At 47.2% G+C, this 27,038-nt stretch overlaps 1 protein-coding gene across 24 annotated transcripts in view, besides 1 other annotated feature; it reads right to left on the reverse strand.

Moving 5' to 3' along the window:
- The window catches only part of TNS3 (tensin 3), a 307,433-nt gene that overhangs the window by 147,686 nt on the left and 132,709 nt on the right, over positions 1 to 27,038 (reverse strand). For all 24 annotated transcript variants that reach the window (XM_047420733.1, XM_047420729.1, NM_001410878.1 and 21 more), the window contains 6 exons: positions 19,164 to 19,216; positions 16,648 to 16,819; positions 14,424 to 14,474; positions 12,443 to 12,565; positions 5,473 to 5,537; positions 1,262 to 1,345 (listed from right to left, as the gene is read on the reverse strand). In XM_047420733.1, the coding sequence (XP_047276689.1) occupies positions 1,262 to 1,345; positions 5,473 to 5,537; positions 12,443 to 12,565; positions 14,424 to 14,474; positions 16,648 to 16,797 (473 nt within the window). In that variant the 5' untranslated portion in view covers positions 16,798 to 16,819; positions 19,164 to 19,216. The remainder of the gene's footprint in view (positions 1 to 1,261; positions 1,346 to 5,472; positions 5,538 to 12,442; positions 12,566 to 14,423; positions 14,475 to 16,647; positions 16,820 to 19,163; positions 19,217 to 27,038) is intronic.
- Positions 24,511 to 25,011: an enhancer, noted in NCBI's record as "H3K4me1 hESC enhancer chr7:47486948-47487448 (GRCh37/hg19 assembly coordinates)". NCBI's record gives its function as "activates a minimal SCP1, AML or CMV promoter by ChIP-STARR-seq in primed H9 embryonic stem cells {active_cell/tissue: H9 hESC(primed)}" and the evidence as "EXISTENCE:reporter gene assay evidence [ECO:0000049][PMID:30033119]".

A 27,038-nucleotide genomic window follows, 5' to 3' on the forward strand; every position in this document is an offset into this window, starting at 1 on the left:
GTTCAACAAAGAAATAACATTTAATGGTTCCAAAAAAAAACAAAAAAAAAACCCAAGTGACTGTTTAACTAAAATATTTTAGAAAATGCTAGGTTTTCTGCACACAACTTGCATTGCATGTGGGCCCTGTTGCTGACCACAGTCCTACACCCTAGCCCATGTTCCTCCAACACACCCGGTTTCAAGAGAAACAGAGCCATGCCATTGGAAATAGCAAGACAAAAGGAAAAGGTGCCTCTGGTGATGCTTGAAATCCCTTTCTGCCCGTCTACCCCCATGTCTGCTGACATAGCCCTCAGTTGCACTGGAGAAAATAGATACAAGGCATCAAAACTTGCATACACAAGGTCGGGTGTGCAACTACCTGTCTCCAAAACGGAACACCATTTGGCAATCACCTTGGCAATTCTCCTACAAATTCCCTGCTGTGGGCTTTGAAATATGCCATGGAGCTACCTGGTTGGCTCTAAGTGTCACCATCTGTGGAGGAAGTAAGTGCACCTGGATGGGGAGCCAGCTGTGGGTCCTTCTCACTGCCTCTCAGCCAGCCCTGCTCAGGTTCTTGACCTCAGCCTGCTGGGGTGGGCAGCAAAAGGAGAAAGTTCTGCACCCCACCATGACTATTCCCCATCACTTACTGAGCTCATTCCAGGGGCCACGCCCAGGAGCAGAGAAGGGAGAGATGGGCAGCATGACAGAAAAATACTCCGTGGCCTCAGGGAACTGATGAGCTACAAGAATTGGCCAAGTGCAACTGCTAATGTGTTTGTGTAAGTAAAGTTTTATTGCAATACAGCCACATTCCCTGATTTCCATATTGCCCAGGGCTGCTTTCATGTTAGAACAGTTGCGATAAAGATCCTGTAGCCTGCAAAGCCTAAAATATCCACTCTCTAGTCCGTTGCAGAGATAGTTCACTGACCCCTGGTCTAGCCAATAGAACCAAGTTCCAACATAATAATGGAAATCAAAACTCACTCACTGCAAGAGAGGAAAATGCCAACTGGAGCAAGTCCTCCCTTTACCTGTCAGTGCAAGCCAGCAGCATAGGGGGCTGTCTCTCACCACAGACACACAGGATGGCTAAGTCCTTAACCTCTGGGAGGGACAAGTCTCCCCACCACCTTCACAGTCTTTGGCATGACCCAAGAATACTATTCATTTAGGTGTCGGGACAGAGGAGATGCCTCTTCTGTTTTCACATTTTTATATGTAAAATTTCATTCACCTCTTCACTCTGGCTTTGGGGATCTATACATACCGTTTTTGGGAAGGCTGCATTAAAGCTGAAACTTTGTCATCATAAAACTTCTTCATTGCAAACCTGTCAAGGGCCTGGTCGGCGCTGAAGGGGAGAGAGAGAGAAAGAGAGTTAACTCAGTGGAGCCCACACCACGTGGGTACTTGACGGGGGATGTGTCTCATGGCTGTTCAAAGCGACCAGCTCCCACAAGGGGCTTCACCCTTTGCTGCACCTGTGCACACCCAATCCACCTGTCCCTTGTTAGACTTCATTTCCCCCGCAGGAATATGCTGTGCTCAAAGTGGGAGCCATAGTGCAGGGTCAGAATTCTCATCTGAAATAACAGCTCCTTATCTAAAGATATTATTCTTAAGAGTGCTGAATACCCAGCTTGCAGAAGAACCAACTGAGGCTTCTCAGCAGGCAGGTGGTAGGGCTGGTGTCCAAAACTGTCCCTTGGCCACCCTACGTCCTAAATAAAGAAGACCATTTTAAGTGGGCTCTGTGCAAGACAAGCAGGCAGACTCAAGTTTCAGGACCACATGGATGCAGGGAGCAACCCAGGGCAGGAGAGTCAACAGACACCCCCATGAAGTCCCAAGAGGCACCCTCGGGACACAAGTGGGCCAGCCTGTGCCCCGCCAGTATGTCACTCCCAGGACTGGGCTTGAGAAGGCTGTAGGGCACTGGGGTTGGAAAGGTGTCTCAGGCCTCGGGGCTGCAGCATTGTTTTTGAAGTGACTGAAAGTAACCCTGCTTTCCAACAATATATTTGACCTTCAATGCCAGGTCCACAGTGCCCACAGGAAGTGTCTGACAGAAACTTCCAGAAATCTCACAGCAGGGCATTCATGGGATTTCTTGATATGACTTCAGCACAAATCCTGGAATATGAGTGCAGTGTCTTAACAATTCCAACTCATTTGGGCCAAATGCTTCCTTAAAACCCTGATAGGCTGGGTGCGGTGGCTCACGCCTGTACTCCCAGCACTTTGGGAGGCCAAGGCGGGCGGATCACCTGAGGTCAGGAGTTCAAGACCAGCCTGGTCAACAGGGTGAAATCCCAGCTCTACTGAAAATAAAAATTACCGCGGCATGATGGTGGGTGCCTATAATCCCAGCTACTTGGGAGGCTGAGGTGGGAGAATCACTTGAACCCGGGAGGCAGAGGTTGTAGTGAGCAGAGATCGCACCATTGCACTCCAGCCTGGGTGACAGAGTGAGACTCCATCTCAAAACAACAACAACAACAACAACAACACCTGATAAAGTGGGCCCGTTACTTAGAAAAATGTGTCTGTGCCCCTCCAGAAAAATGATGTACATAAGCACTGCGGACTTCATAAAAATCCTGGTAGAGAGACAGGCAGGAGGAAAAAGAAACATACTCAAAAGTAAGTTGAGTGTGATTTGACTTTCACAGAATACTATAAAATGGACAACTTGCTACGTGCATTTGCTAGGCAAGGGGCTGTGCTGGTGGGGCAGTCACACACAGAAGGGCCCACTTTAGCACCGAGTCCATCACATACTGAGCAGCAGAGTGCAGCTCCATAGCCTCCCAGTGACTTTTAAGCATTCCTTTTTCTGAAATTTACTTGTTTTATTAAATGCTGAGAATACATTTTGACCAATGTTTATTTTCTATAGTGATATGAGTAGTAGTAATAATATTAGTACTGGTTTTGTCTTTATAACTCTTATTTCTATGGTGTTGATACAAGAATGTTCTTCTCTGGTGACTTGAAGTTTCTTTTTTCTTCTGTTTGCAGTTTGTGATAAAGATCTCAAATGTGTGCTTGTGCTATCTGGGATTACTCTACTTCTGGAATATAATCTAAGAGGGAACATTGTAGAAATGATCAAAAATATATGTATAAGAATGTGTTCATCATGGCAAGCTTTGCAGTAGAAAACAACTGGAAGCAACCTAAATTACAAAAAAAAAACACACACTTAGGAGGCTGAGGTGGGCAAATCACGAGGTCAGGAGTTCAAGACCAGCCTGTCCAACATGGTGAAACCACGTCTCTACTAAAAATACAAAAAATTAGCTGGGCATAGTGGCGGGCACCAGTAATCCCAGCTACTTGAGAGGCTGAGGCAGGAGAATCACTTGAACCTGGGAGGTGGAGGTTACAGCGAACCAAGATCACGCCACTGCACTCCAGCCCCGGCAACAGAGTGAGACTCTGTCTTAAACACACACGTACACAAAACTGGAAGCAACTTGGATAGGCAAAATCAACAAATGCTTAAATACATAACATATCCATTGAATAAAGTGCTATGCTGCCACTGAAATGATGTCGGGAAATGATGCATATAAAATGATATTAATGTAGAAAATCAAGTCACAAAAAGCATGTGGTATCAGCCCATTTAATTGAAAGGCACTTAATACTATTACTCCTAATAATCACAGCAGCGTTAATGATAGCCAATACCTGAGTACCGATGCTGTTCTAAGTGCTTTTTGTGTAACATATGTTGAACTGTCACAACATTCTGGGAAGTAGAGCTACCATCATTTTCCAGGTAAGGATGCTGAGGCTTAGAGAGATTCAGGTAAATTGCCTGACACATGCAGCTGAAATACATATTGACTATTGAGAGAAAACAGAGTTTGTACCAAGAGCGTCAAAGGTGTGTTTTTAGCCCTAAGACATCTACCCTTCCCAAAAAATCCGGGACTATCCACAGTGCATGGAACTTCGGTTCAGGCAGTACTACTTTGCTGGGGATAGAAATGCTCAGGTGTGGCTGGGCGTGGTGGCTCACACCTGTAATCCCAGCACTTTGGCAGGCCGAGGTGAGTGATCACCTGAGGTCGGGAGTTCAAGACCAGCCTGGCCAACATGGTGAAACCCTGTCCCTACTAAAAATACAAAAAATTAGCTGGGCATCTTGGCACACACCTATAATCCCAGCTACTCAGGAGGCTGAGGCAGGAGAATCGCTTGAACCCGGGAAGCAGAGGTGGCAGTAAGCCAAGATTGCACCACTGCACTCCAACCTGGGCAACGAAGCAAGACTCTGTCAAAAAAAAAAAAAAAAAAAAAACAGAAGTGCTCAGGTGGTCTCTGTCCAGAACCAGCCAGGCTATGTTTAGTCACCAACCAAATGTCTTTGGCATCATTGAGGGATGGATGTGCCCAGGAATCTCGATTTTCCTGGCACACACACACACCGATGATTATTCTCACCAAGAGGGTATCTGATTTTCACTTGGGGGTTGGTTTCCTCCCTGGCAGGCACCAACTCCTCAGTTGGTTTCCAGAGAAAACATTCAGAAAGTCAAATTTCACTCCTTGGTGCTAGAAAGGAAAAGGTTTATCGGCTGATATGAATAGGCTTCTATTTCCTCAGAATGGAAAGTTCAGGCTTTACAAAGAGGCCATTGAGAAGACAGGGCAGATGCAAATGTAGACCCCATAAATAATATTTTCTGCACTGCATTTCAGCGAGAGTGAAGATCTGCACTCTGGGAAGGGTCCGGGTGTACACCACAGCTGCCCAGGGCCAGAAGGATGGGCATAGGGCTGAGGTCCTTGTGGCCCTGCTGTGTTTGTGTCATGTCTGGCTTAGGGGACCCGAGTGGCACCTCCAAAGTCTCCACGATTACAGTTCCATCTCATGGAAACCAGCCCAGACCTGGCTCTCCACTCCTAGGCTGTGAGATCATGAGCAAGCTGCCTGGCTCCTCTGAGCCTCACCTCCCTCATCCATGCAATGGGAATGATAGTAACTGCCTCGTGGATTAGTTAGGAGAATTCAGGGAGAAAAGGAAAATAATCAGTATACTTCCCAGAGGCCCAGTGCCTGCAAAAGAGGTGGCTGTCATCATCATTATATACAAGGTATGAGCTGATTTAGTGAGACCACTCTGTTCTTTTCATAATGGTGACTTTTATCTCTGTTATTTTTTGTTAGAGAATTCTCTATTAAAGAACAAGGGACAGTGGGGTCACTTATTTTTTTAATGCCTCCATGGAAGTACTTAGAATCAATCACACAGTCACCCAACCTGGAAAATGCCACTTTCACAAGTGTAAACGCTTAACTGGAAACTGGGTTTCTAGGCACTGACCAACCCAGCACTGGGGAATGGGAAACACAGGTCAGCCGAGCCCTTGGTATCCAGAACAGCTCCCGCGCAGACAGCCTTCAGCCCCATGCAGGCCCAGCTTTTAGCACCTCAAGACAGCGAGCTGACATCTTCATCCTACCTGGCTGAGACGTTGGTGAAATGCATGTAGGATGATATGACCACTCCTATGCGTCCTTTCCCGCCCTGCAGGAGACAAAAGATCAGCTGATTTTCTCTGAAATCCCACAGCAGAGATGTAATTAGAACAGGAAAAGACTCACTAGTGGACAAAACAATAGAGAGCCTGCTTTGGTGGTAAGGCCAGCATTACCCACAGCCTTCCTGTCTGGGAAAGTCAGTACCCAGTGCAACTGGAGTCTCTGCAACAGGGAACCCGCACGCTGGGTGCAAACAGTAAGAGTGGGTGCTAACTGGAGCAGCTGTAGAAGCCCAGGAGGGCTGACCAACACAGCAGCTGCCTGTCATTTTACCCAATTAGGCTGGAAAAAACTGTGCCAGGAGCTGCAGCAATTAGCATGACTTAATTATCCAGGTCAGACAGAAGTGAACGCCTGCCTGCTCACGGGCTGACAATGATCAGGGCTGCAAACACAGCTCAGCATGATGGGACATAGATTCCAGCTTACTGGCAGCACTGCCGGCACCTGAGCTCCACATACACCGCCGCAGCCCACCCTCATTACACATAAAGGAACCACTGTCCCAGGCAGAAGTTCTGGAAAAGGACTCACTCAAACCATAACCACAGACACCAACAGCCCAGCCCACAGACCAGCAACACCAGCAGGAGAAGCAGAAACTATTGGACAGGCCACCTTCACCCAGGGCCACAGAGTGCCACCTTCTAGAACATACTCTTACAACCTACAACAGCAGATTGCAAACCACAGCCCAGGAGCTACTTCTGCCCATTACCTACTTTCCCACAACTTGTGAGCTAAGAGTTAGTTTTACATTTTCTAACTATTAAGAAAAAATTTTGAAAAGATAAGATTCCATGCCATGTGAAAATGTGTTGAAGTTCAGATTTCAGTGTCCAAACACAAAGTTTGACTAGAACATGGCCACTCCCATCTGTTTACCTACATCCAGGGCTGCTTTCACTCTCACTGCAGGGGTAGGTTTGAGTATTTGCAGCAAGACCACGGGGACTGAAAAGTGTAAAATACAATCTGGCTCTTTTTTTTTTGGAGACGGAGTCTCACGCTCTGTCCCCCAGGCTGGAGTGCAGTGGCACAATCTCGGCTCACTGTAAGCTCCGCCTCCCGGGTTCACGCCATTCTCCTGCCTCAGCCTCCCAAGTAGCTGGGACTACAGGCGCCCGCCACCATACCCAGCTAATTTTTTGTATTTTTAGTAGAGATGGGGTTTCACCATGTTAGCCAGGATGGTCTCGATCTCCTGACCTTGTGATCCACCAGCCTCGGCCTCCCAAAGTGCTGGGACTATGGGACTACAGGCGTGAGCCACCGCACCCGGCCTAATCTGGCTGTTTTTAAAAATATTTGCCAACCCCTGATCTGGAATCATATAAAGCCAAAAAGGCAGGGCCTCTAATATGTAGCTCCCTAACTTCTTGAGAAGAAACTACTGATCAAATTCAAGTCACAATTCTGATAAGCCCAGTCATACATGAAAGTCACCCAGGAGCATCCTTCTCTCTGTCAGTGAAAGTCAAGAGCATGCCTTATAGATACTCAATGCGGGCACTTGATACACTCTTTGCAGCTGAATCCTGGCACGTGCAATTATTAATGGTATGGCTACTAGTATACCTCTTGCATAAAACTATATTTGACAGCAATTCACCTACAAAGAAACAACACCTCAGCCAAAACAGGCACACATGGTGGTGACATTCACCCCATTATCAATCACTTTTGTGGCACTATTTATGGATGTATAAAGCAAGTATTTCTTTTCTTTTCTTTTCTTTTCTTTTTTTTTTTTTTGAGACAGAGTTTCGCTCTTGTTGCCCAGGCTGGAGTGCAATGGAACGATCTTGGCTCACGGCAACCTCCACCTCCCGAGTTCAAGCGATTATCCTGCCTCAGCCTCCCAAGTAGCTGGAATTACAGGCATGCATCACCATGCCCGGCTAATTTTTTGTATTTTTAATAGAGACGGGCTTGCTCCATGTTAGTCAGGCTGATCTCGAACTCCCGATGTCAGGTGATCCCCCCGCCTCGGCCTCCCAAAGTGCTGGGATTACAGGCATGAGCCACTGCACCCGGCCTATAAAGCAAATATTAAAAGATCTGAAGGGACAGATAGAAATACCACAACCGTACGGGACTTCAGTACCCCATTTTCAACAATGGACAGATCACCTAGACAGAAAACCAGTAAGAAAACAGGGTACTCAACCTGCACTTTAGACCAAATAGACCTTACAGACATATACAGAACATTGCATCAGAATACGCATTCTTCTGAAGTGCACACAGAAAGTTCTCCAGCATAGATGGCATGTTAGGCCACAAAACAAACCTTAACGAATTTAAGGAGACTGAAATCATATTCAGTATTTTTTCTTTTTTTTTTTTTAATGGAGTCTCCCTCTGTCATCCAGGTTAGAGTGCAGTGGCATGATCTCAGCTCACTACAACCTCCACCGCCTGGGTTCAAGCGATTCTCGTGCCTCAGCCTCCCGAGTAGCTGGGAATACAGGTGCATGCCACCACACCCAGCTAATTTTTTTGTATTTTTAGTAGAGACGGAGTTTTGCCATGTTGGCCAGGCTGGTCTCGAACTCCTGACCTCAGGTGATCTGCCCGCCTTGGCCTCCCAAAGTGCTGGGATCACAGGCATGAGCCACCGCGCCTGGCCTCAAGTATCATTTCTGACCATAGTGGTATGAAACTAGAAATCAATAACAGGAAGAATCTTGGAAAATTCACAAGTTTATGGAAATAAAACAACATACTCCTAAATAACTACTGGGTCAAAGAAAAAAAGTCAGAAGAGAGATTTAGAAATATCTTGGGAGAAACAAAAATTGAAACACAACACACCAAAACTTATGGGATGCAGCAAAAGCAGTTGTAAGAGGAAGGTTTATGGCAATAAATGCCTATGTTAAAAGACAAAAAACTCTCAAATAAAAAAACCTAATGTCAGGCAGGGCGCGGTGGCTCATGCCTGTAATCCCAGCGCTTTGGGAGGCCGAGGTGGGTGGATCACGAGGTCAGGAGATCAAGACCTTCCTGGCCAACATGGTGAAACCCCATCTCTATTAAAAATACAAAAATTAGCTGGGTGTGGTGGCACGTGCCTGTAATCCCAGCTACTAGGGAGGCTGAGGCAGGAGAATCACTTGAACCTGGGAGTTGGAGGTTGCAGTGAGCCGAGATCACGCCACTGCACTCCAGCCTGGTGACAGAGTGAGACTCCGTCTCAAAAAACAAAACAAAACACAAAACCTAATGTTGTACCTGAAGGAACAAAGAACAAACTAAACCCCAAATTAGCAAAGGAAGGAAAAAACAAAGGTCAGAGCAGAAACAAATAAAGGAGAGACTAGAAAAACAATAGAAAAGATCAACAAAACTAAGGGTTGGGTTTTCTGAAGACTAACAAAATTGACAAATCTTTACCTAGATAAGATAAAAAGAGAAAACTCAAAATCAGAAATGAAAGAGCAGTCATCATAACTGATGCCATTTAAGACACAAAGAAACATAAAAAACTATGAACAAGTACATAGCAATAAATTGGATAACCTGGAACAAACTCATAAATTCCTGGACACATACAACCTACTAAGACTGAATCATGAAGAAACAGAAAATCCGAACAAAACAATAACAAGTAAGGAGATTGAATCAGTAATATAAACTCTCCCACAAAGAAAAGCCCAGGACCTGATCACTTAACTGATGAATTCCATCACCGAAAAAAAGAGAAAACTTCGCTATGGTTTAAATATTAGCCCCCTCCAAAACTCATGTTGAAATTTAATCTCCAATGTGGCAGTATTGAGTGGTGAGGCCTATAAAAGATGATTGGGTCATGAGGAACCTTGCCTTCATGAATGGGTTAATACATCTGTGGATTAATTAACTAATGGATTAACCAGTTATCACAGGAGTAGAACTGGTGGCTTTCTAAGAAGAGGAAGAGAGACCTGAGCTAGCACCCTCAGCCCCCTCGCCATGTGATGCCCCATGCAGCCCCAGGACCTCTGCAGAATCCCCAACAGCAAGAAGGCTCTCACCAGACGCAGCCCCTTGAGCTTGGACATCTCAGCCCCTATAAATATTAATATAAGAAATAAATTCCTTTTCTTTACAAATTACCCAGTTTCACATATTCTGTTATAAGTAACAGAAAACAGACTAATGCAAACTCTGCCAGAAAGCTGAAGAAATGCAAACACTTTCAAACTCATTTTACAAGGCCAGCAGTACCCTGATATGAGGTCTTTCTTAATGAAATAGTAAGTATTTAAGGTTTTGCAGGCTGCAAGGTCTTGTTTCAACCATCCAAACCTACCCCTGCATTGTGGGTGGAAGCAGCCATGGATGTACGTGAACAGATGGAGGTGGCCATGTTCCACTCAAACTACGTATGGAACTGAAGTAGGACATCTTCATATAATGTTCATGTAAATACAGCTCTTAGCTCACAGGATGTAGAAAACACAAGAGGGCACGATAGGCTCATGGACTGTTACGTTTTAGTGCAAGCTGCATTCTTTTGGACTTGGAATTGTTAACAAAAATCACAGAATCACTAACTGCACAATTTTCCATGGGTATTCTTCACCATGGACTCAGAAACAAAAGGTATGGTGTGGATGAAATCTCCCAAAAGAACTGCAGGCCATTTCTGGTCAGTCAATAACCAGGGTGTGGAGGGGTGAGGAGGAGACTGCACACACCCACACAAACACAAGCCTCTGCATCACACGGCAGAACGGGAAGCATAGGAGGACCGACCCTCACTCTGTTCCTGCCCAGGCTGAGACAGGCCCAGCTACGCTAGAAATTCCTGGCATGTGTGGAAGGAAACGCGCATTCTGCAAAGCAGGCGGATTTCGCCAAATGTCAGCGATTTCACCCCCGCAGTGATGATGATGAACTTCTGTTAACATCGACATCAGCAATTTCAAATTAAAAGAGGGCTTATCTCTCAGGGCACAATTTCTAAGCGTTTCAAAAATGGTTTACATGGCACCAGAAGAGGGCAAGCCATTAGCAAATCACTTCTGAGAAGTTTCAACATGTTCCCATGAATTCCACTAACAAGAGCTGTCCAGAAAGCCGAAAGTTGCTTAGCAAAAGGATGCATTTTAGAAAGCTCTAGGTGGTCCCCACTAGGACCCATATGTTTTAAATAATCTCATCATTTCTTTCAATTTCATTTAAAAAATTGAAGTGAACAACAACTAAAATGGAATAAATGGCCAAGGATGGCACTTTTCAAGTCCAGCAACTCCAAGAGACTTCTGACAATGCAGCAGGCAGCAGGTCTGGGTGTGCCCTAGAACCTGCACTTTCCACAGGTGCTGCTGCTGGGCCCAGGCTCACAGCTCAGGAATGCTGCTTAGAACAGCTTGCTACGTGATCCTGGGCAATGATGATCCATCAATATCAGGCTCACTGTGTCAAAATCACCACACCAAGCCTGAAAAGCATAGGTTGTTTTAATTAACAAGAATTATATTTATTTAAAAGTCCGTCTGTCTATCTCTCTCTCTCTCTCTCTCTCTCTCTCTCTCTCTCTCTTAGTTTGCACCAAAACACAATTTGGGTGAAGGATCCATAATCTAAAATAATACTTGAAAAGATCAGGTCATCACGGACGATTTGGTGGTCCTAATGGGTGTACCTGTCCATTTGGGGGGAAAATATGATCAAGTTAGATGTGAGGAAAGAGACAACACTAGAGAGAAGCAAATAACATCTGTGTGCCCCGATGGAAGTTTTCTGCACATCAAGTGGTCATCATATGCCTTACAGCTGTAAACACCATCCACAAGCCAGCCTACCTAGTGCCTTTGCAGGAAAGATATACTGAGAGTCTAATATAACTCAAAGGGAAGCTTCTTTCAAACTAAATTCCATAATACAATGGATTTCTGTGCAGTTTTTTAGTGTAAAAGAGTCCGGAAGAAAAAAAAAAAAAAAACTTCTATCTTGAACCGTCAACACTTCCTAGATACTTTGATGGTCCTAAGAATGCTTTGTCAAACACACAAAATAGGGAGCTGCCCATTAATGAACAGTGACCCCAGCCCACTGGCTACATCCTTTCCCAAAGGATTCCTCCCTGACTCAAGGTGTGACTGGAATAAGAGCTTTTCTCTAATAGTAAGTTTCTGGCAGGAGGGTTAAGCTTCACACACTTACCCCTCAGTGAGTTTGCTTTCAGTCCAACCCCTTTCAACAACAATCACATTTGAGGAGCAGTACAAAGCAGTTGAGAAAACTGGGAATTAAGAGGAAAGATCCCAGGAGGTGGGAGGAGGAAGCATGGAAGGAGCCCGATGCAGCCAGGAGGAGGAGTGCCCACCAGCTATGCACCTGGGCTGCTGGCATCCACCAACCCTGCTGGGGCTGACAGACAGACAGTCCCGGCCACTCTGTGAAGATGTACAGGCCATGTCTGCACTGCAATGGCTCCACGTGGAAAGGACAACACGTTTACTGCAATGGCATCATGCCATCATCTAGTCCATCAACTGATTACCATAACTCAAGATGGCATGGAAAGTCTGACACAGTCCATCTGAAAAGGGCATACATAGCTCTTTTGAAAAGGAGGGCTTTCCATGAAAAATAAAATTTAATAAAAATGAAACGATTTGCTCTCATAATCGTGGTCAATTTGGGGTCAACAGTTTCAAATGTCCAGCTACACATTCAGGGACCACAATCCTATAAATTCTAAAGCCAAACTTGGGGAGGTGTGATAACTCTGTTTCCTTCTTTAAGAGCAAGTAGGAAAACCTAAAGACAAACCCATAAGGAGCACATCGCACCAGCTCAAAGCGGAAATGTGCTCAGATGCAGCATTGGTCTCCATCTCAACTCCAAAGGCTGAAGCCCAGCCAGACCCCCAAATGTGAGAGGGGGCGCACTCACCCTGCAGTGAATGACGACCACATGCTGGAGGTTGCTGTTCAGCCAGGACTCCTGCGCCTTGCATATGGTACACATCTTATCCAGGGGCGGTGCGTGGAGCTCTGGCCAGCCCACATCCATGATCTGCAACAAGAAAGGGGAGCTTCCTCGGTTTCCATTTCCTAAAACCTTCTGAGGCCATCTCACAATGACTTCTTTCATCATCAGTACATTTCATTTGGGAGTAAAGAACATGCTGGGTGACCCTTTCCTAAAACTCAGTGAGCATGAGGATCAACTTCCTTCACTGGGAAGAAAAAATAAAGCATTATACTGCCCATGTGATGCCTCTTCTTCCAGGGGCTCATCTGCTCTTCTGCAGCTGGGGTGACAATTCTAGAAAGGTCTTTGAGTTGCTGATGGTGCAGGTTGTGTGGACGGGGCTGCAGTCCAGTGAGATCACAAACAGGAGTCCTAGGCCCAAGCTGCTGCCAAAATCTCCCCACTCGGGTTAAAATCCCAGTTTGGAGAGTGCAGCCAGCCATCTCCCACACCGTGCGGACAACACCTCAGAGACAATCTCCTGGAAAGGCAGCACTTAAGGAGGAAGCACCTTCAAAACTCTAATTAAGTTTGGTGCTTGGACAAAGAAAATCACCACCATGTGCTAAAGACACAGTGACTCGGTGCAGAACTGCAGCTCTGAGCGTCCTGAGGCACACACAAGTCCACAGTGGCCCACAGTGGCCACACGGGGGTGTTGCTTTTCCTTTGATTTCCTTTTGTCAGTAGGACGAGGACAAGGAGCTCTATCTTATGATGAAAGTCGTAGAAATAGTGTAAGACTGTTGGAAATTTCAGAAAGTTGCCAGGAAGTAGGAAAAGTCACTACCCCTGCCACCACTCAAAGATAACCACTGCAATGTTTTCATGAATCCCTTAGTCTCTTTTCTGTATACATTTAGCATAATTGAGATACTATTATACATAAATTCTATACTCTACTATTGTTAACTAGTATTAAAATAGGCAACTTATCATGTTTCTGCTTTGTTACTCTAATGGCTGCAAAATATTTCAACATATAGAATATACATACATATATGTACCACAACTTATGTTGACTCAGTCTTAAAATTATCCCAAACTTTGCTGTTGAAAATGATCATGAAGGGTGAGGGGCAAGGGGAATGAGAGCATTAGGACAAATACTTAATGCATGAGGGGCCTAAAACCTAGATGACAGGTTGATAGGTGCAGCAAATCACCATGGCATATGTGTATCTATGTAACAAACCTGCACGTTCTGCACCTGTATCCCAGAACTTAAAGTAAAATTTGAAAAAATTTTAAAAATTTTTTAAAAAATGAAAATTATCATGAAAGGAGTGGATTAGTATGACCATAAAGAGATACTAGCAGAAGAGAGCCCCATGCTGATGGAAATGTTTTGTCTCTTGTTTGTGGTGGCTTAACAAATCTATACACATGATGCAGTTTAGATTTATTCTATACATATATTTGTTATAGATTTGTTCCATGCATATATATATGCAGTATATATGAAAGATCCCAGGAGGCGGGAGGAGGAAGCATCATGTGTATAGATTTGTTCTATACATATATATTAGTATTTATCATCTATACACACGATGCCGAGAAACACACATGTACGCAAAACCAGGGAAATGTGAGTGAGGTCCGTGGACTATACCAATGCCAACTTCCTGACCTAGATATTTCACTATTAGTGTTGTAAGATTCTCCCACTGGAAAGACTGGGTGAGAAGTACAGGAGATCTCTGTATTATTTTCACAACTTCCTACGAATCTCTAACTATTTCAAACTGAAAAAAAAGTAATTAAAATAATTGATATGAACAATTCCTAATACTCCTTATCAAGTCACATTCCACAAAGACTAGTAGCAAATTATTTTTGCACAAAATAAGCATTGTTTACATTTTACAAAATGCAGAATATAAAGGGATGAACTCTGTACCTTTGGGTTAAGCTTCGTAAGGTCATATCTCTTTTCTGAAAGGTTTAATACCTATAAAAGAGAGGAAAAATTGCCTTGCATAAAATAGATTTTAATATTTTAAAAATTAATACTTTAATTTTTATTTAATTTTAATTAATACTAATTTTTTAAAAAAATATCTAAAATCTTCACACTCACAAATCAGGGGGAAAAAAAGCTTTTAGACAAATCCTTGACATCAGAGATGAAAGCAGAAAACACATTGCATTTTTACATGATGTTTCCCTTCCAGGTACCGAGGATCAGAAAAGATTGAAAAATACAGACTTGTGTGGTCACAGAATAAAAAACAAATAAAATAAATAAGATAAGGATGGCATACAGAACCCTTACACATAAAGTCTATATTCTACTTCTTCAACTAGTATTAAACCAGGCGATTTACTGTGTTACTATTTTTTTTTAATTCTCATGGCTACAAAATATCCCAACATATAGGATACACACACACACACACACACACACACACACACACACACACGTATAAAATATATAATATAAAATATATATACACATATATATAAAATAAATATCACGGTCTTGCTCCTGACAACACAAACTGACCCGATAGAGAGGTGGTACATGGTGGGGAAGGCTGTCCCTCCTCTATGGCCTGGTGGCCCCAGGCCTGGAAAGGGCTGAGTTCATGCCCGGCCAAAAGCCATGGCCTAAGTTCACTGAAAAATCACAGCCATTTGTGGAACCTTGCTAAATACTCAAGTAGTTCAAAATGAAAATAATAATAATAATAATAATAATAATAATAATGTTCCAGCAGCAAGGAGCCTTAAAAATTAACTAAACGTCCCTCTCACTTCAGAGTCAGAGATGTGAGGAAAGTGGAGGGTGGGGGCTTGTCCTGGTCACCCAGCAAGCCCTGTTTATGACAAGGGGGGGCGCTGCTTTGTGACCCACAGTTCATTTCTAACCCTGCACAAGAAAAAGATCCCTGCCATAGCCATTTTGCAGGGAGAGCTCTGGCCCTGACAAGGCCCCACAGACAGGTGCTGGCCAGGGCTCCAGGCCCTCTGCATGGTCTCTTTGGGGAAGGGGGACTGGGGAAGAGGGGAAGGATGGCCAGAGAGGAGACTCAGGATGCGCTGACCAGCCTGGGAGTGGCTTCCAAAGGAAGGAGCCATGGTCCTGCAGAGCACACCGCCTCAGTGATGAAGGAGGAAGCCCTGAGGAGGAGAGGGCCCCTGGTGAGAGGCACCACCATCAAATGGGGCTTGGCCACCACTTCCTGTCCACTGCCAGGTCACAGACAAGACGGGCTTCAAGACCAGAAAGAGGCAGGAGCCTGAGTGAATCAAGGATCGGGGAGGGGTCAGGACCCAGGTAGCACCTGGGCCAGGGCTGCTCTGGCATCAGACGGAGGCCACATCCTACTCTGCCACTTGGGTCCACCTCTCCCAGCCACTGGTGCCCCAGTCATTGGAGCAGACCAGCAAGGAAGACAATGAACACCTTGTAGGTTTGCAGGGCAGATTAGCTTTACCACAGATAAGGAGGCCTCCTTACTAGAGATAACAAGGCAGGTAGAGAGAGGGTGCCAGGGAGCTGTCATTCAATCCCATTAGTGACTGTTGACAGCAGAAGGAAGTCAGCCTCCACCTGGGCTACCAACCATGGGAACAGAAAACAAGGGGCCAATCAGAGGGTGAGAGATGGTGAGAGGCTGTTCTGTATTATTCCTCAGATGTGGCTCCACCATCAACTCGACAAGTGTGTTTTGAAAATCAAGCTGTCTCCTTGTCTCCAGGGCAGCCCCTGGTTTCTTGGGTGCCCACCTAATTTGTCTTCCTAATTTCTGGCTCAGGAGGAGAGTCACAAGTTTGTCTCTTGATACGAGGGATGCAGCATGGGAGCGCAAGGGTGGCTGGCTGGGGACATGTCCCAAGGCACTGGGGAGCCAGCCTCACTGATGAGTGCAGGACAAGGCAACAGCCATCCCTGCGGTCAGCAGTCGTGTGTCCCTGAAAGCTACCTACAGAGACACATAAGTCTCCTCCCCAGGCGTGGCAGCAGAGAGACAGAGGACGAAGGCGCCACGGACAGCTGTGTGAGCCCAGGCCCTTGAGCTTCTCCCTCATGTGTAAACCAGTGTTCTGTGAGTGCCCATCCCTACACAGTGCCTGCTGCAGAGCCTGCCCAAAGGCTCCCAGAGCCGCCCACCGCTCACCAGGTAGTTGTCCCCGTGCTTGGACTTGAGCATGCGCGTGACCTCCTGTAGGTTGTGCAGGTAGGACTCCTCAGAGCAGCCGGCAGGGAAGGACACAGCGATGATGCGCTCCGTGATGTAAGTGAGGTCCAGCCCATGGCCCTCCTCCATGGTGGGACTCAGGATGACGGGCCTGCGAGAGAGCAGTGGGCAGATCAGAAACAGGGTAAGGAGGCAGCAGACATTCATCCTCTAGGAAAAAGGTGAAGACGACGGACACTCATCCCCTGGGTGTTCACATCAGCACCTGGGCGGCCAGCTACGGGAATTTACAGTGTGTGCAGCCTCTGTGCTGTGTTCCCATAACAGCGGGCAGTGTGGGGAGGGGCACAAGATTGAATTTTCCTAGCAGGGCATGACGGGGTACCGCAAGCTGCGGTCAGGGAACGCACAGAGAGAAAGCAACTCAGAGCAGTGACGCATGGGCTCAAATGCAAAAGCACGAAGGCGGGAAGGACTCTTTGTGGTTACACTGGGAGCAGGAACAGGGTTCCAGGCGGGACTCCTGGAGTGGGAGCCTCAACCCTGCTCTGAGGTGTCAAGGTCGGCACGAGGGGGCACCGGGAGGGGGCCAGGAGGAAGCGGAGATGGTGTGAGCAGAAGCCAAACATCAGCAAGCAGCTCCTCGTGTCCGTATGCGGCATCCTGGGGGAGGTGCGGCCAAGGATGAGGCTGGTGAGGTGGCCAGCTATGGTCGTGGAGGACCCTGCAGGCCCAAGAAGGAGGCAGGACCTCACGTGGAGAGGGGACCAGCTGGGGCATAATCAAAGCGGCCTTTCATCTACTGAGTAGCAACTCAGCAGACTCCTATCAGAAGGCTAAGAGCTCCATGGGGCCCCGCTGGGACCCCACCCAGCTAGCCACAGGCCAGGTGGATGCAGGGTAGAATGTGGGGCTGGCCACCCAACCAGGTGCCCAGGTGGCCAGGGCAGGCCCCCAAGTGTGAGATGAAGACTGTGGAGGAGGGAAGAGGGAAGAGGGCAGAAATGGTCATGTCATGGCCAGCAGGCTGAGGACTTGGGCAGGACTGGCAGTGTGGAGTCAGGCACCCAATGTGACTGGAGACAAGGGCCTCCCACAGACCACAGATTCTCCACCAGCCCTGTGGGCCCCAGGGAGGCCTGAGCCCCTCCCAGGAGTGCTCCTAACATTATGGCTGAGGGTGGTATCCAGGAGGAGGTGGAAAAGGTTCCAGGGAGAGGGGATGGGGTTGAACCCAATCGGTGCCCCCATGAGGTAAAGCCAGAGGCATGGGTGCACGGGACGTGTCCTTAAGTCCCTCCAAAGTGCTGCCACCAGCTTTGGGGTTTTCATTTTTACTACTCCTATGTGTTTCTCTCTTTCTTTTAATTTTGGAAAAATTCAAAACCATATAAAATGGTTTTGCAAACCTCCATGTACCCACATCACCTAACTTCAAAATTACCAACACACAGCTAACCTCTGTCCATCAATATCTCCAGCAATCTCCTCCACCACTTTGATTGCTTTAAAGCAATCCCAGATACTATGTAATTTCATTTATAAATCTTGCAGAATTTATTTCTAAAAGATAAGGGCACTTTTTGATTAAAATGTCTACAATGCCATTATCACACCTCAAAAAGAAATAATAACATCAAACATCCAATACCATACATTTATTTTTATTTTTATTTATTTTTATTTTTTCGAGACAGAGTCTCGCTCTGTCGCCAGGCTGGAATGCAGTGGCGCAATCTCGGCTTACTGCAGTCTCTGCCTCCTGGGTTAAAGGGATTCTCCTGCCTCAGCCTCCCGAATAGCTGGGATTACAGGCATGCGCTATCACACCCAGCTAATTTTGTATTTTTAGTAGAGATGGGGTTTCACTGTGTTGGCCAGGATGGTCTCGATTTCCTGACCTTGTGGTCTCCCCACCTCAGCCTCCCAAAGTGCTGGGATTACAAGTGTGAGCCACTGTGCCCGGCCCATACATTTATTTTTTAAGGTTGATTTGTTCAAATCAGCATCCAAACAATTCCCAAGGATTTTGTTTTCTCTACCTTATTTATCAGACATGGATTTCATTCCAATTCAAATGTATTGAACACTGTTAGAACAGAAATAAAGCGCTTCCTACGGTCATGAGGATCCACAGTGAGTGCCTCTCCAGAAGATGCTGGCTCAGGGCCCCCCTCATCTGCTCTAAAGGGGCTCTTGCCAGCACACCCTGGAGTCTCCCCCAAAAGTGACACTTGCACAATCAGGCCTCAGCAGTGCAATTATTTATTCAAAGACAATCACAGGTGTTTCTACCACCTGGGCTTCTGACCCTGACACAGCATTTAGAAACGGACAGAAAACCTGGCCTGTATCACCTTTGATTGGCAATGTTTACAACCAAAGCAGAAATTATGATTTCTACAGAAGAAAATGATGCCATGCCCAAGTTTCCTCTGTAGAGAGCTGACCTACAGCCAGAGACACAGGAATGCATGACCCACACAGACACTCACCGCAGAGGTTTATCACGGCAGAGAGAACTGGACAGCGTGGAACTCCCTGGAGCCTGCAAATAACAAAACAAGGGTCATTTTGAAGTTTCCTTTCCTGCCAGTCTACATGACACAGACACCACTGAGAGGGAACAATGACAGCCGTTCCACAGTTTAATCATAAACAGCAAGTCAATCGTAACTACAAGCCCACCTTATCACCTCAGAAGGGTCTACACCATGTTGTGTGATTCAGCTCACCAGAGGACGCAGTGCCACTAACCAGCATCAGGACGGGCTTTCACAGGAGCCAGTGAGGCCACCCTCCAGTCAGGGCAAGGTAGGCATCGCTTGGCCTGCAAACAGTGCCCTGCCCTCCAACACAGGAGGTGCCAGATGACACCAGCGCTATGACTATCATGGCTGCTATTATTTACTTGAAAGAACCAATTAATGAGTGACTTTCAGGAATTCTCAGTCATACCTACTCTTTTTTAAAGAGCCTATTCAACAGGGAGAAAAGACTCGGGTTATAATTACTTTATAGTTATATAACTCTTCCTTGTGTGTAAGGGTTGTTATATACTATGGTGACAGAGATCTACTATTTCAGGAAAAATGCCCAGCAACTGTGTGAGTAAGAAGGCTCTTCAATATTTCAGAAGTGAGGAAATTGGGACTCAAAGAGGGAAGCGATCTTGTCAGATGGCAGAGGTGAATGGGGAAACCCAGACACCCACTACAGGGCTCCCTCAAAGTCTCTTTCTGCCCCAAGCCAGGTAATGCTGCACACAGGAGCCCAGAGACCCCCGAGTTGGGGGGACACAGAGCCTCCGGCACTCCTCCTGCTCCCCGATCAAAGCAGGCCCACAGACACCACCATCAGAGGCATCAACACCCCCGATCACACCTGGGATCCCACTCAGGCAGGTGCAGCTCACCTGGACTCCTTAGGCAAGAAATGAACAGAAAACAAATTCTATGTATATTTCGGAGACCAACAATACAGATGTTTTCCTGAAATCATACCAATGCAAAGCCTAGCGCCAATTCCAAAACCACAGAGATCATCGTCTCAGCCTCCCAAGACAGGGGCAGGATCTAGGGGCGTGCTCTTCAGTTCTACACCAAGGTGCCGGTGAGCTCAGCCCTGGGTCCACCTCCTCATTGTTTTTCCCGGGAAAGCCCCTTGGCCACTCCACTTCTTTGTCTCCTGCCTTTTGAAGTGAGAATAGTAACAGACAGGGCCAGTCTCATGGAGCTGTCCAGGGATTCACTGAGGTAATTCTGTCAATGGCTTGGAATCCAGCCTGGCACCGCATGGCCACTGCCCGTGCTGGGCAGACCTGGTCAAGTGAAGTCCCGTGGTCTCCAGACCCCGCCCACCCCTGACATCTGAGCTGCACCCCCTGCTCATCCCCTATGCCCACAAAGCTGCAGGAGGCTCCAAACATGTTCCTCTGATCTTCTCAAAGCCCTAACCCAAAGCCTTTCACAGCTCAGACTAGACAGCTACAAAACAGAAGACTACTCTTTTGCCTAGTAGAGCAGCAAAAATAAAAATCTTGAAAACATTTTTTAAAGTTTTGATGAAATATAAACAGATGCAAGATTTCAGAGGACAACTTGTCAGTGTGTATAAAAAGTATTTAGAATACGGCCGGGCACAGTGGCTCACACCTGTAATCCCAGCACTTTGAGAGGCCGAGGCGGGCAGATCACTTGAAGCCAGGAGTTCAAGACCACCCTGGCCAACATGGTGAAACCACGTCTCTACTAAAAATACAAAAATTAGCCTGCGTGGTGGCGCACACCTGTAATCCTAGCTACTCGGGAGGCTGAGGCACAAGAATCACTTGAACCTGGGAGGAGGAGGTTGCAGTGAGCCAAGATCGTGCCACTGCACTCCAGCCTGGGCAACAGAGCAAGACTCTGTCCCAAACAAATAAACAACAAAAAAAAAGTATTTAGAATACAATCCCAGAGTAAACTGAATGCACTAAAATGAAGTCTCCGAAAAGGTAAGGAAATGATACATCAAAAACCCGTTTAGGTTAATTCATACAATCTGTACATGTAACACTCAAATTCAAGCAGCTCAGATGCAATCCTAATAGAGCCAATCTCATTATGGGGAAACTCAGCTTAACCAGGGTCCCATTTAATTCAAAAAAGTATTCAATAAGCCAACATCTCAGGGGAGAACAGCAAGGAGTTTGATCGACCATGGTCCTGGGTCTTACATGAACCCACCAGGATCTGACTATATGTGTCCCACATCTTCACCAGACCACGCATCCAAAATACAGTGACTCCCATTGCAATGCCATGCTGGAGTACACTGGCCCAGTTCCTACAAGTGGGCTGTCGCTTCAGACCCTATGTCACGCTTATCATTTGACCGTGAAAGACTGGCACGCAACTTAACATATAAACAGCATTATATAACTCATGGGGCAAAACTATTTAACTCTCACATGACACATCATTCCAAGATGACAACCACACAAATACGTGACTGCTCACTGCCGGCACCAACGTGATGGGGTAGGAGTGTCACCGTCCCTCAGGCGGGGCCCTGACGGCAGGAGGGAAGGAGGGAAGGGTCCCAGAAGGCATGAGGACTCTGCTGTCCCTGACGGAACCCAGGGCCCATTTCCTCAGCTGCAGAGTGAGAAGGGCAGGTCAGACAGACCCACGGGATCTTCTCAATCCAATAGTCTCTGAATCCAATTCAGCATTATAGGCCTCGATACAGTAACTCCAATGTTCAAACCCCGAAACCATACAAATTGCAACCACTGCCAAAAAAACAAACAAAAAAAACCTTTTAAACCAATAGTTATATAATTTCTAAGGTCAAGGCCAATGGAGGAAACTGTAATCTGTGCTATCACCACAGGGAGGCCCCAGCACCTGAGCTGGTGAAAAGTCAGAAAGTGTTGAATTGCACAAAGTTGCTTACATGAAGTGTTCGGAAATGCAGGGTTCCTGTAAAGTGTCCCAGCATTGCCCAGAGACACCCCTTCCTTAACCTCTGTATTGGGAAGAGGGGCAGGAAGGAGGAATTCAGCCCGTCCCCCAACATACCCAATTTTCTATGTAAGTCTACATCCACTTAAAATCGAGGCGAGAAACCCAGCACAGCTCAGGGCCACCCTCCAAAAACACAGACAGCTTGACACCCACTCAAATCCCCAGCCCCAGACCCGCATCTGTCCACCTCATGCCTCCAGATGTGCAAACACAGGTCTGGCCACCTCCAAGGCATGTGGTGCTCAGCAGCTTCCATAGCACAACCCTGAAGAGCATTGCACGGAGCCCAGCAGAAACCCCAGTAAGCAGACATCACCACCCCTATGTTACATGTTACAGGTTGGTAACATAGGGATGGTGATGAGGAAATGAGGATTTGGTGGGCGGACGTGTTGGAATCCCACAGTTAAGCTGCAGTAGCACCTTCTGACACCAAAACTCTGTTCTCCTTCCATCTCCTGGCTTTCAGGTGGTCCACACCCTCTCCTGCACAGGCTGCCCCTGAATCACATGAACATCAGTGAGGATAAAAGACTCTTGCTTGGGGGAGCTGTTCTAGCCCCGTGCCAAAAAGGGCAGAGAAACTATGGCCCTTCCATCACTTCCAAGTCAGCGTCTGAGATCTCATGTGACTAAAATCCCCCTGAATCATTCAGGGGTTAAATCTGGAACCAAGTAGAGGACATGCCTATGACAGGTCCCCCTGACACACTGGGGTAGAACCCCCTCAGCTGCTTTGACTTGGACTAAAATGAGAACCAGGCCCCATACTGAACTGGAACTGCCGCCAAGAGTTTCTGAAATACTGTGCTTGTCAAGAGGAGACTCAGGGATACAATGTCACTGTAAGTCTTTATTTGAAAGTAAACAATACACCTACACTTGGGTTGCACAAATCTAAACCCTGTGTGTGCACCATAATGCATTTCATGACTGAAGGATGACTGAGAAACTAACTTGCTATAGGTTATATTAAACCTGGCTCCTGAGAAACCCGAAATCCTAACCTCATATAAGGTTTAAAAAACTCTCTCTACTTGTAGGCACCAGTCCTGCAAATCTGTGTTGCAAACTCACTCTCTAGGTGTTTTTTTCTTTTGTTTTGTTTTGTTTTGAGATAGAGTCTTGCTGTTGCACAGGCTGGAGTGCAGTGGCACGATCTCAGCTCACTGCAAGCTCCACCTCCCAGGTTCATGCCATTCTCCTGCCTCAGCCTCCCAAGTAGCTGGGACTACAGGTGCCTGCTACCATGCCCAGCTAATTTTTTTGTATTTTTAATAGAGGCAAGGTTCCACTCTCTAGGTGTTTTGAAAAGAGAGCTGCCTGCTCACGTCCTCAGAAGCCTTCCCAAGCTGTGGTTTCCTTGTGGACCCTATCGCCAATGTCAATCAAATCCAAGCCCTTAGTGATTAGAGTTTCCATGAGATAGAAACACAAGTTGCTTCTTTTGTTCTCTTGTTTTCCAGGGTGAAAAAACCCAGACAGCAAAGCCTCCCACCCAGCCTCTGCCCAGCCCATGCCTCCCTCACCTGTGTCCCTGTTGGCATGCTCTTATCACAGCCTTCAACACCCAAATAAGAGAAAGAGAAAAGGGAGGCCCAGGTAGAATCTGTGGTTAAGGTTAAACCTGCAAAAGGTAAGCCTGCAAAGACCGCCCTGTTCCAGGCTGCCTTTTTTTTTTTTTTTTTTTTTTTTTGAGTCTCACTGTCGCCCAGGCTGGAGTGCAGTGGCATGATCACGGCTGACTGCAGCCTCTCAGTGACTTCTCGGGCTCAGATCATCCTCCCACCTCATCCTCTCAAGTAGCTGGGACTACATGCATGTACCACCAAATACGGCTAATTTTTGTTTTTTTTTTGTAGAGATGGGGGTCTCGCCATGTTGTCCAGGCTGCTCTGACGCTCAAGCAATCCACTGGCCTCGGTCTCCCAGAGTGCTGGGATCACAGGCATGAGCTTCCGTGCCCGGCCAGACTGCTCTTTAGAAGCATTTTCCTTCTACAGGTCCTGGAGCTCATCCTGGCCACGTGACAAACTGGCCCCATGGGCTCAATGAGGTCAATGAGGTCACTAAACTCCCTTTCTCTTCCGGTAAAATGACAGCTGTGGATCAAACACTTGGAGGTCATCCCAGTCCTGGACTCCCTGAGTCAGTGAGTGAAAAGTGAGGAGAGGCATTCCTCAGATAAAAAATTAGATGCACTGCCTGGAGGGTCATTCTGGTTCCACATATGTTTGTTTGTTTGTTTGTTTGTTTGTTTGTTTGTTTGTTTTTGAGATGGAGTCTTGCTCTGTTGCCCAGGACAGAGCACTTCCTAGTGTGTCACAGCAGTGGGCGAGAGCAGACTAAGCGGCAGGAAGGCAAAAACACCTCTTTTGGGAGAAAGTAGCCTAGCCTTATGGCAAAGCACACAGGCTCCACATCAGGCAGTCTGGGTCCAAGTTAAGGGTCCACCGCTTGGCACCTGCAGCCTCAGGAAAGGTCCTCCACTCGCCTAGGCCTCATCTCCCTCCTCTTTCCAGGACTGTGCGCTCATGTCCCGACCTCACCTTGGAGTTAGCAATCCACGCATGGCACACTAGGGCAAACCTGCTTTTCACAGTGGCCCTATGGCACATGGTCCTGCAGTGACCCTACAGTTCTCAGTCCCGCTGTGCCCTCCTGCAGGGCGCCATCCTGCAGTGCGCTATCCTAGCACACCCTAGGCTTCACCCTAAAGACCCTACCCTAAAGCCTCATCCCATCCCACAGCGCCCCACCCCACCACGCGCCATTTGCCAAGACCAGCGGACAACTCTAGAACATGTGATGATGCTCGCTCTAGTATCTCTATGAGAACCATGCTTTCCACTGTGAACTGCGGCTTCTTGCTCAGGAGGACAGCCCTGATCAGAAGGAAGACCTGAGCTTCAAAGAGTCTTTCTGCACATCTGGGAGCAGAACAAGGGAAGAGCCAAGCACATCCACCTAAAGAAGGCAGAGAAGACAGCAGGAGGCTGGGGGCCCTGGCAGAAGGAGGGGAGGCTGTGGACTGCTGGGACTGAAAGGGCCACTGGAGATTCCCCAAGGCCACTGCCAAAGCACATTTCCAGAGCAGCCATCCCTGGAGCTGCTCCCTTGGCTGTCACATCAACACCATGGCCACCACCCGGGCAGGAGTAAGCACACTCACCAGAAAGCCAGCAGCCTCCTCTGCACTCACCCATGTGGGGCATGCAGAGGGGGAGCACAGGGAGGAGGGAAGAGTGAAAGACACAGGCCCCATTCCCTCTGCAACAAAACTTCCTTGAAGTCCACGACGTCCCAGGGAGACATGGGATCCTCCCCAGGTGGGGTGGGATCCCAGCTGGTTTGATGTTCCTCTCCACAGCTGAGGATCTGGGAGCCCCCACCTGACAGGAAGGTTAATTTCGAGACAAGCTTGTAATCAATGAGAGCCCAACTCTGGTGGGAATTCGATTTTTTTTTTTTTTTTTTTTTGAGACAGAGTCTCACTCTGCCACCCAGGCTGGAATGGAGTGGCACGATCTCGGCTCACTGCAACCTCTGCCTCCTGGGTTCAAGCGATTGTCCTGCTTCAGCCTCCCGAGTAGCTAGGATTATAAGCACCCACCAACACACCTGGCTAATTTTTGTATTTTTAGTAGAGACAGGGCTTCACCATGTTGGCCAGGCTGCTCTCGAACTCCTGACCTCAGGCAATCCACCCACCTCGGCTTCCAATGCTGGGATTGCAGGCGTAAGCCACCGCTCCCAGCCAGAATTTGGTTCTTTTTTAACCTATGTCCTTCGACTGCTTGTTTGAACAAATCAACAGTTTCCAAAACCTCACAGTATAGTAATGAAATCTGAAATCAGACAGACCTGGGTGTGAGTCCCACACCACCTGCCAGCTGCAGAATCTTGGGCCAGGGCACTCATGAGCCTCAGTGACCCCATCTGTGGAGCGGGACAATGATGTCTCCCTTGTGAGACTGTTCACAGAATAAAGACAAAAATGTCCAATGCCTGCCTGAGACTAACAAGCCAGCCTTGCTCACTGCAGATTGTCCCTGAGCCTTGCACTGTATGTTGCCGATACATCCAGTTAAACTGTACAGAATCTCTACTGCCCAGGGAAGTCACTGCTCGACGTTCAGCACTGTGCGCCTGGCACGGGTGCGTATCCTGCAGGTGGAAGGCAGTGTGAAGAGTAGAGTCAGCTGCAGCAAACCAAGCCTATGTCGTGCAATTAATGCTAGTGCGGCATTTCAAATGGAGCATCCTTCACTGACGTCCCATTGCCATGGGGTGAAAGGCAGGTGCTCAGCCTGGTCCTCAGAGCCCTGGGTGAGCCAGCCCCTGCCTCCTCATGTGCCTCCCTCACTCCCTGTCCCTACCTTACCTGCTGTGCTTCCTCCTGCCCCAGGTTCTTTGCACATACCACACAGTTTAGAATGCTCCTCATTCATGTATCCCAGCTTTACCTGGTTAACTCCTGTGATTTCTCAAGCACTTGGCTCAGATGGCAACTTCCAGCAAAGCATAATCTGATCTCCCTACCCGACCTGAGTCATATGTTCCTTTCTACTTTGGTCTCCTTTTTGTTTTGTTTTTGTTTGTTTGTTTGAGACAGGGTCTCACTCTGTTGCCCAGGCTGGAGTGCAGTGGGGTGATCTTGGCTCACTGCAACCTCCATCTGCCGGGTTCAAGTGATTCTCCTGCCTCAGCCTCCAGTAGTTGGGATTACAGGCGCCCGCCACCACACCCGGCTAATTTTTGTATTTTTAGTAGAGATGGGGTTTCACCATGTTGGCCAGGCTGGTCTTGAACTCCTGACCTCAGGTGATATGCCCGCCTCGGCCTCCCAAAGTGTTAGGA

The sequence above is a fragment of the Homo sapiens genome, chromosome 7 (genome assembly GCF_000001405.40).
Source record: "Homo sapiens chromosome 7, GRCh38.p14 Primary Assembly".
NCBI lineage: Eukaryota > Metazoa > Chordata > Mammalia > Primates > Hominidae > Homo > Homo sapiens.